This window comes from Homo sapiens, chromosome 11, assembly GCF_000001405.40.
Source record: "Homo sapiens chromosome 11, GRCh38.p14 Primary Assembly".
NCBI classification, from domain to species: Eukaryota; Metazoa; Chordata; class Mammalia; order Primates; family Hominidae; genus Homo; species Homo sapiens.
The window spans coordinates 48,244,416-48,257,855 of record NC_000011.10 but is presented as its reverse complement, the minus strand read 5'-3'; the positions used below and the strand labels follow the sequence as shown (position 1 = coordinate 48,257,855).

The 13,440-nt window shown below is 35.9% G+C and overlaps 1 protein-coding gene across 1 annotated transcript; it reads right to left on the bottom strand.

Annotated features, from left to right (window-relative positions):
- Positions 1 to 11,840: 11,840 nt before the first annotated feature.
- Positions 11,841 to 12,752, bottom strand: OR4X2 (olfactory receptor family 4 subfamily X member 2). The gene has a single exon (NM_001004727.1). The coding sequence runs from the start codon at positions 12,750 to 12,752 to the stop codon at positions 11,841 to 11,843; it is 912 nt and encodes a 303-aa protein (NP_001004727.1).
- Between the last annotated feature and the right edge of the window lie 688 nt (positions 12,753 to 13,440).

Sequence of the window (13,440 nt, the reverse complement as noted above, 5' to 3'; positions counted from 1 at the left end):
TTTTTTCTCCCATAGGAGGACAGATGTGAGAACATCTTAGCCAAGTCCTTCAAATTTATCAAAAGAATATTGCTGAAAAATACATTATTCAGCTGTTGATTCAGAAAACTTAGTTTTGCAAACTATTCCATGTTGGCCATGTTACCAGTGGCTCTGGTGAGAATGACTGTAACATCTGCTCTAAGCTAAACTATAAAGTAACTTTGTCACCCTGTCCTTTAACTAGACAGCTGAGGCTTTAAGGGGTGATGTCTAAGGTCTGCCCCATCAGCTGAAAGAGTGAGCAAATCTAAGAAGGTTCACCATGTATGAAAACATGTGGAAGCAAGAGGAATAACAGAAGGCACCGATGTGTCTGAAATACACCACCTGAAAGATGCCACCCCTCCATTTGCCAAGTCCAGCCCTTAATGACTTTCTTGCTAAGAAAGTTGCAGGGGAAAAGAACGGGGTCAGTCTGCCCTAAAACTCACTAAAAGGAGAGTTGAGGGAAATGTTTGCTGGACTGAGAGGCCCAAAGCATTTAAGATGTACGAAATGGAAAGTTGAGGTCAGAGAATTGAATTCCCTGAACTTTTCTAGCACCCACTCTCTAGGGAATTTCTGAGAAAAGCAAAAGTCAATTTCCCAACTGCTTCATTCAGAGGTTAGGGAACCTATCTCTCATTAATCCAATTATAAAACAGGGACTTCTACTTCCTCACTCATGATTAACCCCCTCACATTCTGGCATCCGTGGGTTTCCCTCTCCATTCTCAAGTAAGTGACAGAGGAGAATCTAACATCCCATCACCCCCTGTCCCCACCACAGACATACTCAAGGGGCCCTTGGTGACTTCTTCTGCCCTCGTGCCTCATTGGACCAATGATGTTGGTGAATTCCAGGAAGACTCTAACTAAGTGGACCTGGACCACTTCACAGATGAACTTTGGACATGTCACCTGAATCACAGCATGCTAGACATGTAATTTACCCCTGTATTAGTGAATATTGTAGACGTTCATTTTATTCATATCTCCTTGTTTAGAATGTCACTGCCTGCAGAATAATAATTTTTTTGTCCTTACTGAAAATGAAATGTTGTATGTGTCTATAAAACCTAGTGAATTATCATGAACAAATAGCTTTAAAAGCATGTATTCATTCTCTCTCTCTCTCTCTCTCACACACACACACACGCACACACACATGAACTTTTACTTCCTCCCTCATGATTAGCCCCCTCAAATTCATCCTGTCCAGTTCATCCAGTTTAAAGATGAGAAAACAGCCAAAGAGGAAAAATTAGTTGTACTCGTATCTTGCTAAACCAATTCTCTCTTAACACCTACCGTAAGAGCCGTCCAACTGCTTGTTCTTAAAGTTCTAAGCATTTAACCACAAATTCTTAACATGTGGTTTTCACATGTAGGGGCTTCAGAAAGGCTCAAGTTGACTATGTCCACTTCTAGACATAGTTTCCTAAGCAACAGCACATTACATTTGTGTTGGGCATTATCATATCTTTCAACTTTTCCAATACCTCACATACAGTCAAAGTAACACTCTATTAGAGTAACTAGTATTCCTGTTTGATGGATTAGGTAACTGAGGCTCAGAAGAATTAAGAGAATGGTTCAAACCTATGAAACTAATAAATTGTCCAGTCGGGTCAAATGACAAGGTGTTCCAGTACCTCCCCACTCAGAATCTTTGACCGGCAGCTGATGTCTTTTTAGGAAGCAAACAAGCCAGTGGAAAGTTGAATGAAGTTTCCCCACTCCCACCTGCTTCTGTTCTGTGCAGCCATGCTACTTCTTCAAAGTTCTGTGTCCTTGGCTAAATAAATCATAAAACAAGGGTATAAGTGTGGCCTACTCCTTTTCTCCATGTCCCTCCTGAAACACTATAAAAACTCAAGCTCTTTTTTTTCCCATTTTTCTCATCTTTTTTTTTATTATTATACTTTAAGTTCTGGGATACAGGTGCAGAATGTGTAGGTTTGTTACATAGGTATACACGTGCCATGGTGGTTTGCTGCACCCATCAACCCATCATCTACATTAGGTATTTCTCCTAATGCTATTCCTCCCCTAGCCCCCCACCTCCATCAAGCTTCATTTTTAAATCCCTGGGTATTCTCCTATTTAAAGAAATCTATGTTAAGTATTTCTATATATTACATTAATAACTTCCTAAGTTATCAGTTTCAAATGAAATAGCATTGGCTGCTGTCATAGCCACAGCCTTTCTCATCTTCCTACTAAAATACTCTGCTAAACATTTTAGGTGAAATTTTATGTAATTATTGAACAACACTATGAAATGAGTACTTACATTATCCCATTATGTAGATAAGAAAACTGAGGCACAAATTAGTAAGAAACTGTCTGATTATCACACTTGCCAAGTGACAGAGTTATAATTTAAAAGTAAACAGTCTGACTCCAGAGCCTGTGCTGTAAACCTCAAACAATAGATAATCAGTCTATACTGATTTTAAAACAGCCAACATTTTACCTGCCCCTACCTGCTATCAGCACCTTTCTCTCTACATCTATTTGGAAGATTATTCAAAATCTAGAAAATAACTTGGATGAAAACAGGAGATGATCGAGAGTGCTCTGGGAGATTCATGGCGGCACATTATCCCTGGTAGGGATAGTGCCACAAGTAAATCTCTTTAGGCAGGAACAAATGTTGGAAATAAATGAAATTTGCTCCAGTATTAGTTAATATTGTAGATGTTCATTTTATTCATATCTCTTTGTTTTAGAATGTCACAGCCTGCAGTATAAGAATTTTTTTGTCTTACTGAAAATGAAATATTCTATGTGCCTATAAATCCTTGTGAATTAGTATGCACAAATAGCTTTAAAAGCATGTATTTATTGTCTCTCTCTCTTTCCCTCTTTCTTTTTCTCTCTCTCTCTCACACACACACACACACACACACACACACACACACATGAACATGCTATCCAAAGTTATCAGCTCCCTGGTATATTTTCATTTTCATTGTTTTCATTTAAGGATATATCTTGGTGATCTTCCAAAGCAACATGTATGAATTTGCCTAATAGTTTTTTAGTTATGTGTGGTATTCCAGATGGATGCATGTAAACTTATTTATTTAACAGCTCTTAAATATATAGACATTTAGGGTGTTTCTAGGTATTTACTATTATAAGAATTACCACATTGAAAATCCTTATTCACAAGTACAAATAGATTTCTAGGATATATTTTCACAAGTGGGATGCTAGTTCAAAGGATGTAAACATTTTTCATTTAGATAATGTCAAGTTGCTTTCAACAAGCTTTTTATCAAATTATACTCCCAACATCAATTTCAGAAACATCCACATAATATCCTATACCATATTCAAATTGTATATTTTCACTCTTGTTTTATTTTCTAGAATATGTTTTTAATCAAGAATGATCCCAGTAGAATACACAAAGAAGGAAATCAGATTAACTTACTTTGGCTTTACATATGAAAAATTTCATTGAGCATGAGATTCTTGAATAAAAACAAAAGAATACCACTCAGACAAGAGTTCAGAAAATATACTTACTTTCTTGGAAAAAAAAATACTTAAATGATAAGTTTGAAAATTTCAAGACAGAACTGAAAGCTGTATAACAGGACTAACTATAAATTCCAGAAATGAAAGATATAATATTTAAAATTGAGATCTCAGTGAATGATTTTAATAGCACATTAGACATAACTAAAGAGAATTAGTGAACTGTAAGATAATCCCAGAGGAACTAAAGTACTAGTCAACCCTAAACTTCTACAAGTTGAGGATAAATTTTTAATCTCTAGAATAGACCTAAAGAAAAACTAAAATAATATGTAATTTCCCAACTAAGAAAAGCAGAAAAGGGAAACAGATTATTTAAGAAGCCAACATCACCCTGATAACAAAAATCTAGCAAAGACACTGAAAAAAGAAAATCACAGGCCAATATCCCTGATGAACATAGATGTAAAAATCCTCAACAGAATACTAGCAAATTGAATCCAGCAGCATATCAAAAAGTTAATTCATCACAATGTAGTAGGTTTTCTTCCTGGGATGCAAGGTTGGTTGAATATACGCAAATCAATAAATGTGATTCACCACATAAAGAGAATTAAAAACAAAAGCCATATGATCATCTCAATAGACATGGGAAAAGCTTTCTATAAAAGCCAATATCTTTTCACAATAAAACCATCAACAAACTGGGCATCAAAAGAACATACCTCAAAATAATAAGAGCCAGGTATGACAAACCCACAGCCCACATCACTCTGAATGCAAAAAGTTGGAAGCATTCCCTTTCAGAACTGGAACAAGACAAGAATGCTCACTCTCACCTCTCCTATTTAACATAGTACTAGAAGTTCTAGCCAGAGCAATCAGGAAAAAGAAAGAAATAACCGGCATCCAAATAGGAAAAGAAAAAGCCAAACTATCTCTGTTTGCTGATGATATGATTCTATGCCTAGAAAACCCTAAAGACTCCACCAAAAGGCTGCTAGAACTGATAAACTACTTCTGTAGTTTCAGGATACAAAATCAGTGTACAAAAATCAATAACGTTTCTACATACCAACAACATACAAGTTGAGAGCCAAATCAAGAACACAATTCCGTTCACAATTGCCACCAAAAAATAAAATATCTAGGAGGACCTCTAACCAAGGGAGTGAAAGATCTCTTCAAGGAGAATTATGAAACACTGCTGAAGAAAATCAGAGATCACACAAATAAAAAGGGAAACAGTCCATGCTCATGAATTGGAAGGACTGGTATCCTTAATATGGCTATATGCCCAAAGTAGTCTACAGCCTCAACACTACTCCTATCAAACTACCAATGTCATTTTTCACAGATTTAGGAAAAAAATTCTAAAATTTATAATGTAACCCAAAGAAATCCTGAATAGCCAAAGGAATCCTAAGCAAAAAGAACAAAGCAGGAGGCATCATATTGCCTGATTTAAAACTATACTATAAGGCTACAGTAACCTAAACAGCATGGTACTAATACAAAACAGACACATAGACCAATGGAATAGAATGGAGAGCCCAGAAATAAAACCTCACACTTACAGCCATCTGATCTTTGACAAAGTTGACAAAAATAAGCAATGGGGAAAGTATCCCCTATTTAATAAATGGTGCTGGGAAAGCTGGCCAGCTATATACAGAAAAATGAAATAGGATCCCTACCTTTTACCATATGCAAAATTAACTCAAGATGGCTCAAAGATTTAAATGTAAGACCTCAAACTATAAAAATCCTAGAAGACAACCTAGGAAATATCATTCTGCACATCAACCTTGGTGAAGAATTTATGGCTAACACCTCAAAAACAATCTCAACAACAACAACCAAAAAATTGACAAGTGGGACCTAATTAAAGTGCTTCTCACTGCAAAAGAAACTATCAACACAATAAACAGATACCCTACAAAATGGGAGAAAGTATTTTCAGCCTATGCATCCAACAGAGGTCTGATACCCAGAATCTATAAGGGACTTTGACAAATCAGCAAGTAAAAAACAAACAGCCCCACTAAAAAGTGGGCAAAGGACATGAACAAACACTTATCAAAAGAAGACATAAAAGCAGCCAACAAACATATGCAAAAATGCTCAACATCACTAATAATTAGAGAAATGCAATAAGATATCATCTTACAGAAGTCAGAATGGCTATTATTAAAAAAAAATAGATGCTGGGGAGACTGCAGAGAAAAGGGAACATTTATACACTACTGGTGGGAATGTGAATTAGTTCAACCACTGTGGAAAGCTGTTTAGAGACTTCTCAAAGAACTTAAAACAGAACTACCATTCAATCCAGCAATCTCACTGTTGGGTATATACTCAAAGGGTAATAAATTGTTCCACCAAAAAGACACATGCACTTGTATGTTCATTTCAGCACTATTCACAATACCAAAGACATGGAATCAACCTAGGTGCCTATCCATGATGGAATGATAAAGAAAATGTGGTATATATACACCATAGAATACTATGCAGCCATAAAGAAGAACAAAATCATGTCCTTTGCAGCAACATGGATACAGCTGGAGGTCTTTATCCTAAGCAAATTAATGCATGAATAGAAAACCAAATATCACATGTTCTCACTTATAAGTGGGAGCTAAACACTGGGTACTCATGGTCACAAAGATGGGAACAGTAGACACTGGGGACTATTAGAGTGGGGAGCGAAGAGGGGGGAAGGGCTGAAAAACTACCTATTAGATACTATGCTCAGTACCTTGGTGATATTATCAATCATACCCCAAACTTTAGCATCACACAATATACCAATGTAACAAACTTGTGCAAGTACCCCTGAACCTAAAATAAAAGTTGAAAATTTTAAAAATTAAAAATAAAGGAAAACAGAATATGTTTGATTAAATCAAAATATATAAGAACAGATGAAACAATTGGAATGTGTTTGTAAGATTGTAGGTCTAGATGCAAATTTATCGTTATTATATTCGATGAGAATGGAATAAATCATCTAATTTTAAACCAAAATGGATATACTAGATGAAATTCAAACCTATACTGTTAACAAGAAACACACCTAAAACACAAGGACACTGAAAAGTTGAAGGTTAAAGAATGGAAAAAGACTTACCCATCCAAACTCAAAGACCTCTGGTGAAGCTATAATATCATACAAAATATATTTAAAAGCAGAAAACTACTATAACTGGAACATTTCATAATGATATGATTCCATTCACCATTAGAGTTATAATACTATTCTGGATAAATTTTTAAGGAGTCATTATCTTTTAAAGATATATTCTGAAACATTTACAAAATAAATTACATAATGCCTAAGTTTTTTTCAAAATGTTATGGGGGATGAGGTAAGAGGTAGATGCGGATATAAATAAAACAAGCTCAGCCATGAGTTATCTGTGGAAATTATGTTATGGGTAAAAGAGATTCTTTATACTATACTGTCTATTTTGATATATGTTTACATGTTCGATAATAAGAAGGTTACAAAATGATTCTAGCAAGCATCACAGCCAGATGCCTTTCAAGAAGAGCTCTATTTGGTCCTGTGAGTTCAGTTGGTGATTCTGTTGCCTGATCCAACTAGATGGTTGGCTAACTCTGCAGACTATTTTGGAATGACTCTTTTATGCAAGGTGTTCATCAGAATGCCAAAGGATAGAGTGGAGACTTAACTGAGTTTGCTGTATGACAGTTGTATGCCTATTTGCATTGACATGTGTTATAGGTAGCAAAAAAATAATATGTGGAATCAGTGGCTTTTATACCTATGTCAAACAATTCCCTATAATAGGCAACACTTGAAATGTGCATGACCTGTGGAGGGAAAAAAATGTTAAAACTCTGCTGAAGAACACAAAAGAAGACATGAACAAATGGAAAGATGTATCATGGTTTTGGATAGGAAAACTCATAGCATTATAGTGTCTATTCTTTCTAAATACATTTATAAGTATTTATAAAATATACATTTGACTTCAAACATATTTTTAAAAATATCCAGAAGTTTGAAAAAGTAGAGCAACAAAAAGGACCTAGCCCACCAGATATTAAAACATTCTGTACAACTTCCAGAATAAGAAACAACGTGGCTCTGGATACTCCAGAAGCCATAAAGGAAAATAATGATAATTTACATAAAAAGAAAAGACTTCTGTATGTTAAAAAACCATAAACAAAGTCAAAAGACCAATGACCAGGACAAAAATCTACAGTTCACTTTGGAAAGGACTAATTTTTATATATAAATAATTATTAGAATATAATAAGAACCACAACCCAAAAATGAATAAATAATAGAAACAGTTTACAAAAACTACAAATGGCCTTTAAATATATGAAAAGATCTGTCAGAACCTGTTTGAGAAAAAATAAATAAATAAAATTATTTCAACGTTATTCAACATAAGAGAAATATAAATTTAAATTATACTGTGCTCCCATTTTTCATCTATCAGTTTAGCAAAATCTCAGAATTTAACAATACATTTTGCAGGAAAGACAAATTTGTTGGTGAGAGTACAAGTTGGTATGACTACTGTGAAGGGCAATGTGGTCATCTCTATCCAATTACAAAGAAATACGTACTTTCTGGATGATTCATGATGTTAAGCACCTTTTCATATAACTGTTGGTCATTTGTATATCTTCTCTAGAGAAATGTCTATTTAAGTTCTTAGCCCATTTTTAAATCAGGCTATTAGTTATTTTGCTATTGAGTTTTATGAGTTTCTTATATATCTTAGAGATTAGCCCTTTGCAGATATATGGCTTGCAAATATTTTCCTCCATTCCTTAGGTTGCCTTTCCACTCTGTTGATTGTTTCTTTTGCTGTGCACCTTTTTTGTTTGATATAGTCTTGCATTTTTATTTTTGCTTTTGTTACCTATGCTTTTGTTGTCAAACCCATAAAATCATTACAAAACTCAACATCATAAAGCTTTTCCCCTATGTTTCCTATGTTTTCTTTTAGGAGTTTTACAGTATCAGGTTCTACATTTAAATCTTTAAACCATTTTGAGTTGATTTTTGTGTACGGGGTGATATAAGGGTCTAACTTCATTCTTCTGCATGTGGATATTCAGTTCTCCTAATGCCATTTACTGAAGAGACTGTTCTTTCCTCATTGTGTATTCTTGGCACCCTTGTCAAAAAACAGTGGATCATATACATGTGGATTTGTTTCTGGGCTCTCTATTCTATTCCATTGGTCTATGTCTGTCTTTATGCCAGTACCACACTGTTTTAATTACTATAGCTTTGTAATATATTTTAAAATCAGGACATGTGAAATCTCCAGCTTTGAAAAACTTACATTTGATCCAGCAGTTATATTTTTGGAAATATAACTTACAGATTAGTTTTACATATTTAAATTAAGGTTATTTGCTGCCACACTATTGGAAAACAATCCAAATACCCATCAGTAGAAGACTACCTAAGAAAATAATGGTATGCAAACACCACATGTTCTCACTCATATGTGGAAGTTGAACAATGAGAACACATGGACACAGAGAGGGAAACAACACACACCAGGGCCTGTTGGGGGGTGGGGGGTGAGGGGAGGGAACTTAGAGGGCAGGTCAATAGGTGCAACAAACCACCATAGCACACATATACCTATGTAAACAACCTGCACATTCTGCACATGTATCCCGGGTTTTTTTTAGAAGGAATAAATAAAAAAAAGAAAATAATGGTATGTTCATTTTATGAATACCACAAAACCATAAGAAAAGAATGAAGACTATTTCCTTGTTCAAATATTTTAAAACTCCCAGATACACTGTTAATAAGTTTCAGATGCATTTATATAGTATGCGATCACTCATGTAAAAGGTAGAAATAAATGAGAACATACATATTATACTTGTATTTGCTTAAAGAAACTCTGAAAGAGGTGGGGCAAGGTGGTTCAGGCCTGTAATCCCAGCACTTTGGGAGACCTGGATTGGGCTAATCACATGAGGCCAGAAGTTCAAGATGAGCCTGGCCAACATGGCGAAACCCCATCTCTACTAAAAGTACAAAAAGTAGCCGGGCATGGTGGCTCGTGCAAGTAGTCCCAACTACTCAGATGCTGAGGCAGGAGAATCATTTGAACCTCGGAGGCAGAGGGTGCAGTGAGCTGAGATCATGCCACTGCACTCCAGCCTGGACAATAGAGCAAGACTCTGTCTCAAAAAAAGAAACTGAAAAAAATACAGGAAACTAAGGAAACCAAAAGAGAAAGGGGGAAAGTAGAAATGGGGAAAGGAATGAAATGACACTTTTCACTTGCGTATCTTTTCATTTTATTTTATTTAAAACTCAATGAAGATTACCCTTGCACAAAAGTAAAATAAAAATTTAAGTAATTTTTCAAAGAAAATATGTCTCTAATTAATGGTGTAGGATAATCTAAACACAAAAACAATGGAATAAATCATTTTAAAAACTAATTATCCTGGATCATTTTACATTGTGTGCATGTGTCAAAATATCACTCTGTATCCCATAAATATGTACAATTATTAAGTGTCAACTAAAAATAAAAGGGGAAAAATAAAATATAAAACTTAAAACTGATAGATTTTACTGTAAAGAAATGTCAGCTTTGAAACATTGAAAACTTTGTAAATAAGGCTCAAAACCAATTAAACATGAAAACGTTCACGCTTGCAAAAAATTAAAAATGCAAATTAAACAATGGTAAGATGTCTTTCTAATTTACAAAACTTTATTTTTATTGTTATAGATTTGGGGGTACAAATGTTGTTTTGTTAGATGGATATATTATATACTGGTGAAGTCTGCATTTTTAGTGTAGCCATCACCCAAATAGTGTACACAGTAACCATTAAATAATTTCTCATCCCTCACCCCTCCCCTATTATTAACTTTTTGTTATAAAATGATTTGACCTACAAAAACTTCCAAAAAAGAATTCTTGTTTTCCCTTAATCCAGATTTCCCAAATATTGGTATTTTGCCACATTTTCTTTATCCTTCATGCTCTCAATAAATAGATATGTAGACAAACAGATGGGTAGAAATTTTCTGATACAGGGGAAGTGTGGAGAAGTAGGTCAAAGGATGCAAACTTGTAGTTACATAGAATAAACAAGTCTAGAGATCTAACGTGCAACATAAGGACTATAGTAAATAATATGGTATTGTATCCTGGAAATTTGCTGAGAGTAGATTTTAGGTACTCTTACCATTAAAAAAAAGCAAACTCTGCAAAGTGATAAGTATGTTAATTTGCTTGACTAATAATTTCTTTGTGTATAGTATAGGTATATCAAAACAGTATGTTGCTCACCTTAAAGATATACAATAAAAATAATAATTTTTCTGAAATGTTTGAGAGCTGCCAATATGATGTCCCTCCATCTCTAGATATCTCAATAAGCAATTCCCTAATCCAAGAACATTCTTTGAGACAAGCACAGTACAATGATCAAAATCAGGAAATTAACATTCATGTAATTTTATTATCTCATCTACAGAGTTTTGCCCCACAAATGTCCTCTATCTAATATCCAAGATCCAATCCAGGATCACATGTTGCTTTACTTGTCACCTATCTTTAATCCAGAGTAATTCTTCTTTCTTCATCTTTACACATTTGAAGAGTTAAGGACAGTAATTTTGCAGAATATTCTTTCTTTGGGCTCTCCTTGTGTTTTTTTATGATTAGACTCAGGTTGTGTATTTTTGGTAAGAATAGCACAATAATGATATTGTGTGCCTCTCCAGTGCACCATATCAAGAGGCACATGGCATCAATGGATCTTATTTCTGGTGATACTCACTTTGGGCAATGGTTTAGAGGGGAAGGGCTATAAAGTTACATTTTTCTCTCTGTAATTAATACCCCTTGGTGTCCTAAGGAAAGATACTTTGAAACAATGTAAAATCATTTCTTATCCAAAAAAAAGTGTTTAATGACAGGATTCTATTCTGTCAAGAGCACTTTCACAAGATAGGTGACTCAGTGTAACACTGTGCACCAAAAGTCTTTATACTCTAACACTAAATTCACTCTAGGAAATAAGCCTAAAAGAAAGTCAGAAGCATGGTTAAAAATGTCTATTCAAGAATATTAACTACAGTGTTATTTATGGTGGTAAAAAATTAGTACCTCCACAAAAAGAAATACTATTCAAGTTATGAAAATGAACTTTTTAAAGAGAGAGGCCAGGTAGAATAATCTGCAACTAACAGGTCCTGTGAACTTTCCTTCAACCTATTCTGCTCCTTCAGTTTGGACTCAACAGTCATTCTAAACCCAAGTATCAATACAAAGACTCAGCCTCTATTTCTCATTTAGTCTCAATGTCCTAATCCACAGCCTCTTCATGGCCTTCCTCATTTCAGCATTTCTCAGAGAGTAGATGACAGGGTTCAGGATCGCGGTTATCACTGTGTAGAACACAGCCACCATCTTGTCTATGGGCAGAGTGGTAGAAGGCCTCAGAGAGTTGAAGACGCAGGGCCCAAAGAACAAGATAACCACAGCGAAATGGGACCCACAGGTGGAGAGGGCTTTGCACCACCCTTCAGAGCTCCAGGTTCTCAGATGGAGCAAGATGACCATATAGGATGCTAAGAGGACCCCAAAACTGATCACAGACAGGGTGCCTCCATTGGCAACAATCAGCAGACCAATGAGGAAGGTGTCAGAGCAGGCAAGTTTGAGAAGGGGAACTAGGTCACAGAAATAGTGATTGATCACATTGGGGCCACAGAAGAGCAGGTGGAAGATGAGAAGGATTTGTGCAAAGGAATGCATGAAGCCTCCCACCCATGCTATTCCTACAAGGACAGTACACACCTGCCAGTTCATGATGGTGGTGTAGCTGAGGGGCTTGCAGATGGCCACATAGTGGTCATAGGCCATCACAGTGAGCAGGAAAATCTCAGTGCCACCAAAGAAGTGCAAGAAGAAAAGCTGTGCCATGCAGCCCCACCAAGATATGACTTTCCTTTCAGCCAGCAGATCTGAGATGAGTTTGGGGGCTGTAGCGGAGGAGTAGCAGATCTCCATGAAGGAGAGGTAGCTGAGGAAGAAGTACATGGGGGAACCAAGGCTTCTGCTGGTCATGACAGTGAGCACAATGAGGAAATTCCCCAGCACAATTGCTGTGTACAAGAACAGAAATATCACAAAGCAAACCCTCTGCACCTCCTGGTTGGGAGAAAGTACCAGAAAAATGAATTCAGTCATGTTGTGTATGTTAGCCAAGAGGTCATCATCAAGAGGCAGCAATTTGGGTGGTGTGATCTGAAATGATACAAAATACTTCTTCACTCAGTGGGTGAATTACATGAAAGCCCTTGCATAGCTGAGATGCTTCTGAGTTGGAAATTGAAAGGTGAGTAGGAGTTAGTTATGTGTAGAAGGGAAGAGCATTCCAAGAAGGCAGAGAGCAAGTACAAATGCTTTGTGTGTGGCTGGAATAAAGGGGAGAATAGCAAAAAAATAAAGCTGTAGATAGACATTAGTACCAATTTGTGAAGGACTGTTAGGGCCTTTGAGGACCCTAGCAGTCCCAAAGTGTTTTTCCTTTTAGTTGATGAACATGCTTGATGATTCCCCATTGTCTGCAGGATCAGACAAAGTCTGTAGTATGTAGAACTAAAGTGTGGAAAGGGCTGTCCAGTGGAAACAGATTAGAGGAGGAGCTCTATTAGGAAGTTAATAAGTCCCTCATTGGATGATGTGGAACAGCCAGGATAGTGTTACTGTCTCCATGTTAGATGAGTGTTTTAAATTATCTTGTGCCTACAGCTTTCCTTCATGCCACTTCCTTCTCCTTTTTTTTTTTTTTTTTTTTTTTTTTTTTTTTTTTCAGACAGGGGCTCACTTTGTCACCCAGGCTGGAGTGCAGTGGTGTGATCTTGGCTCACTGCAG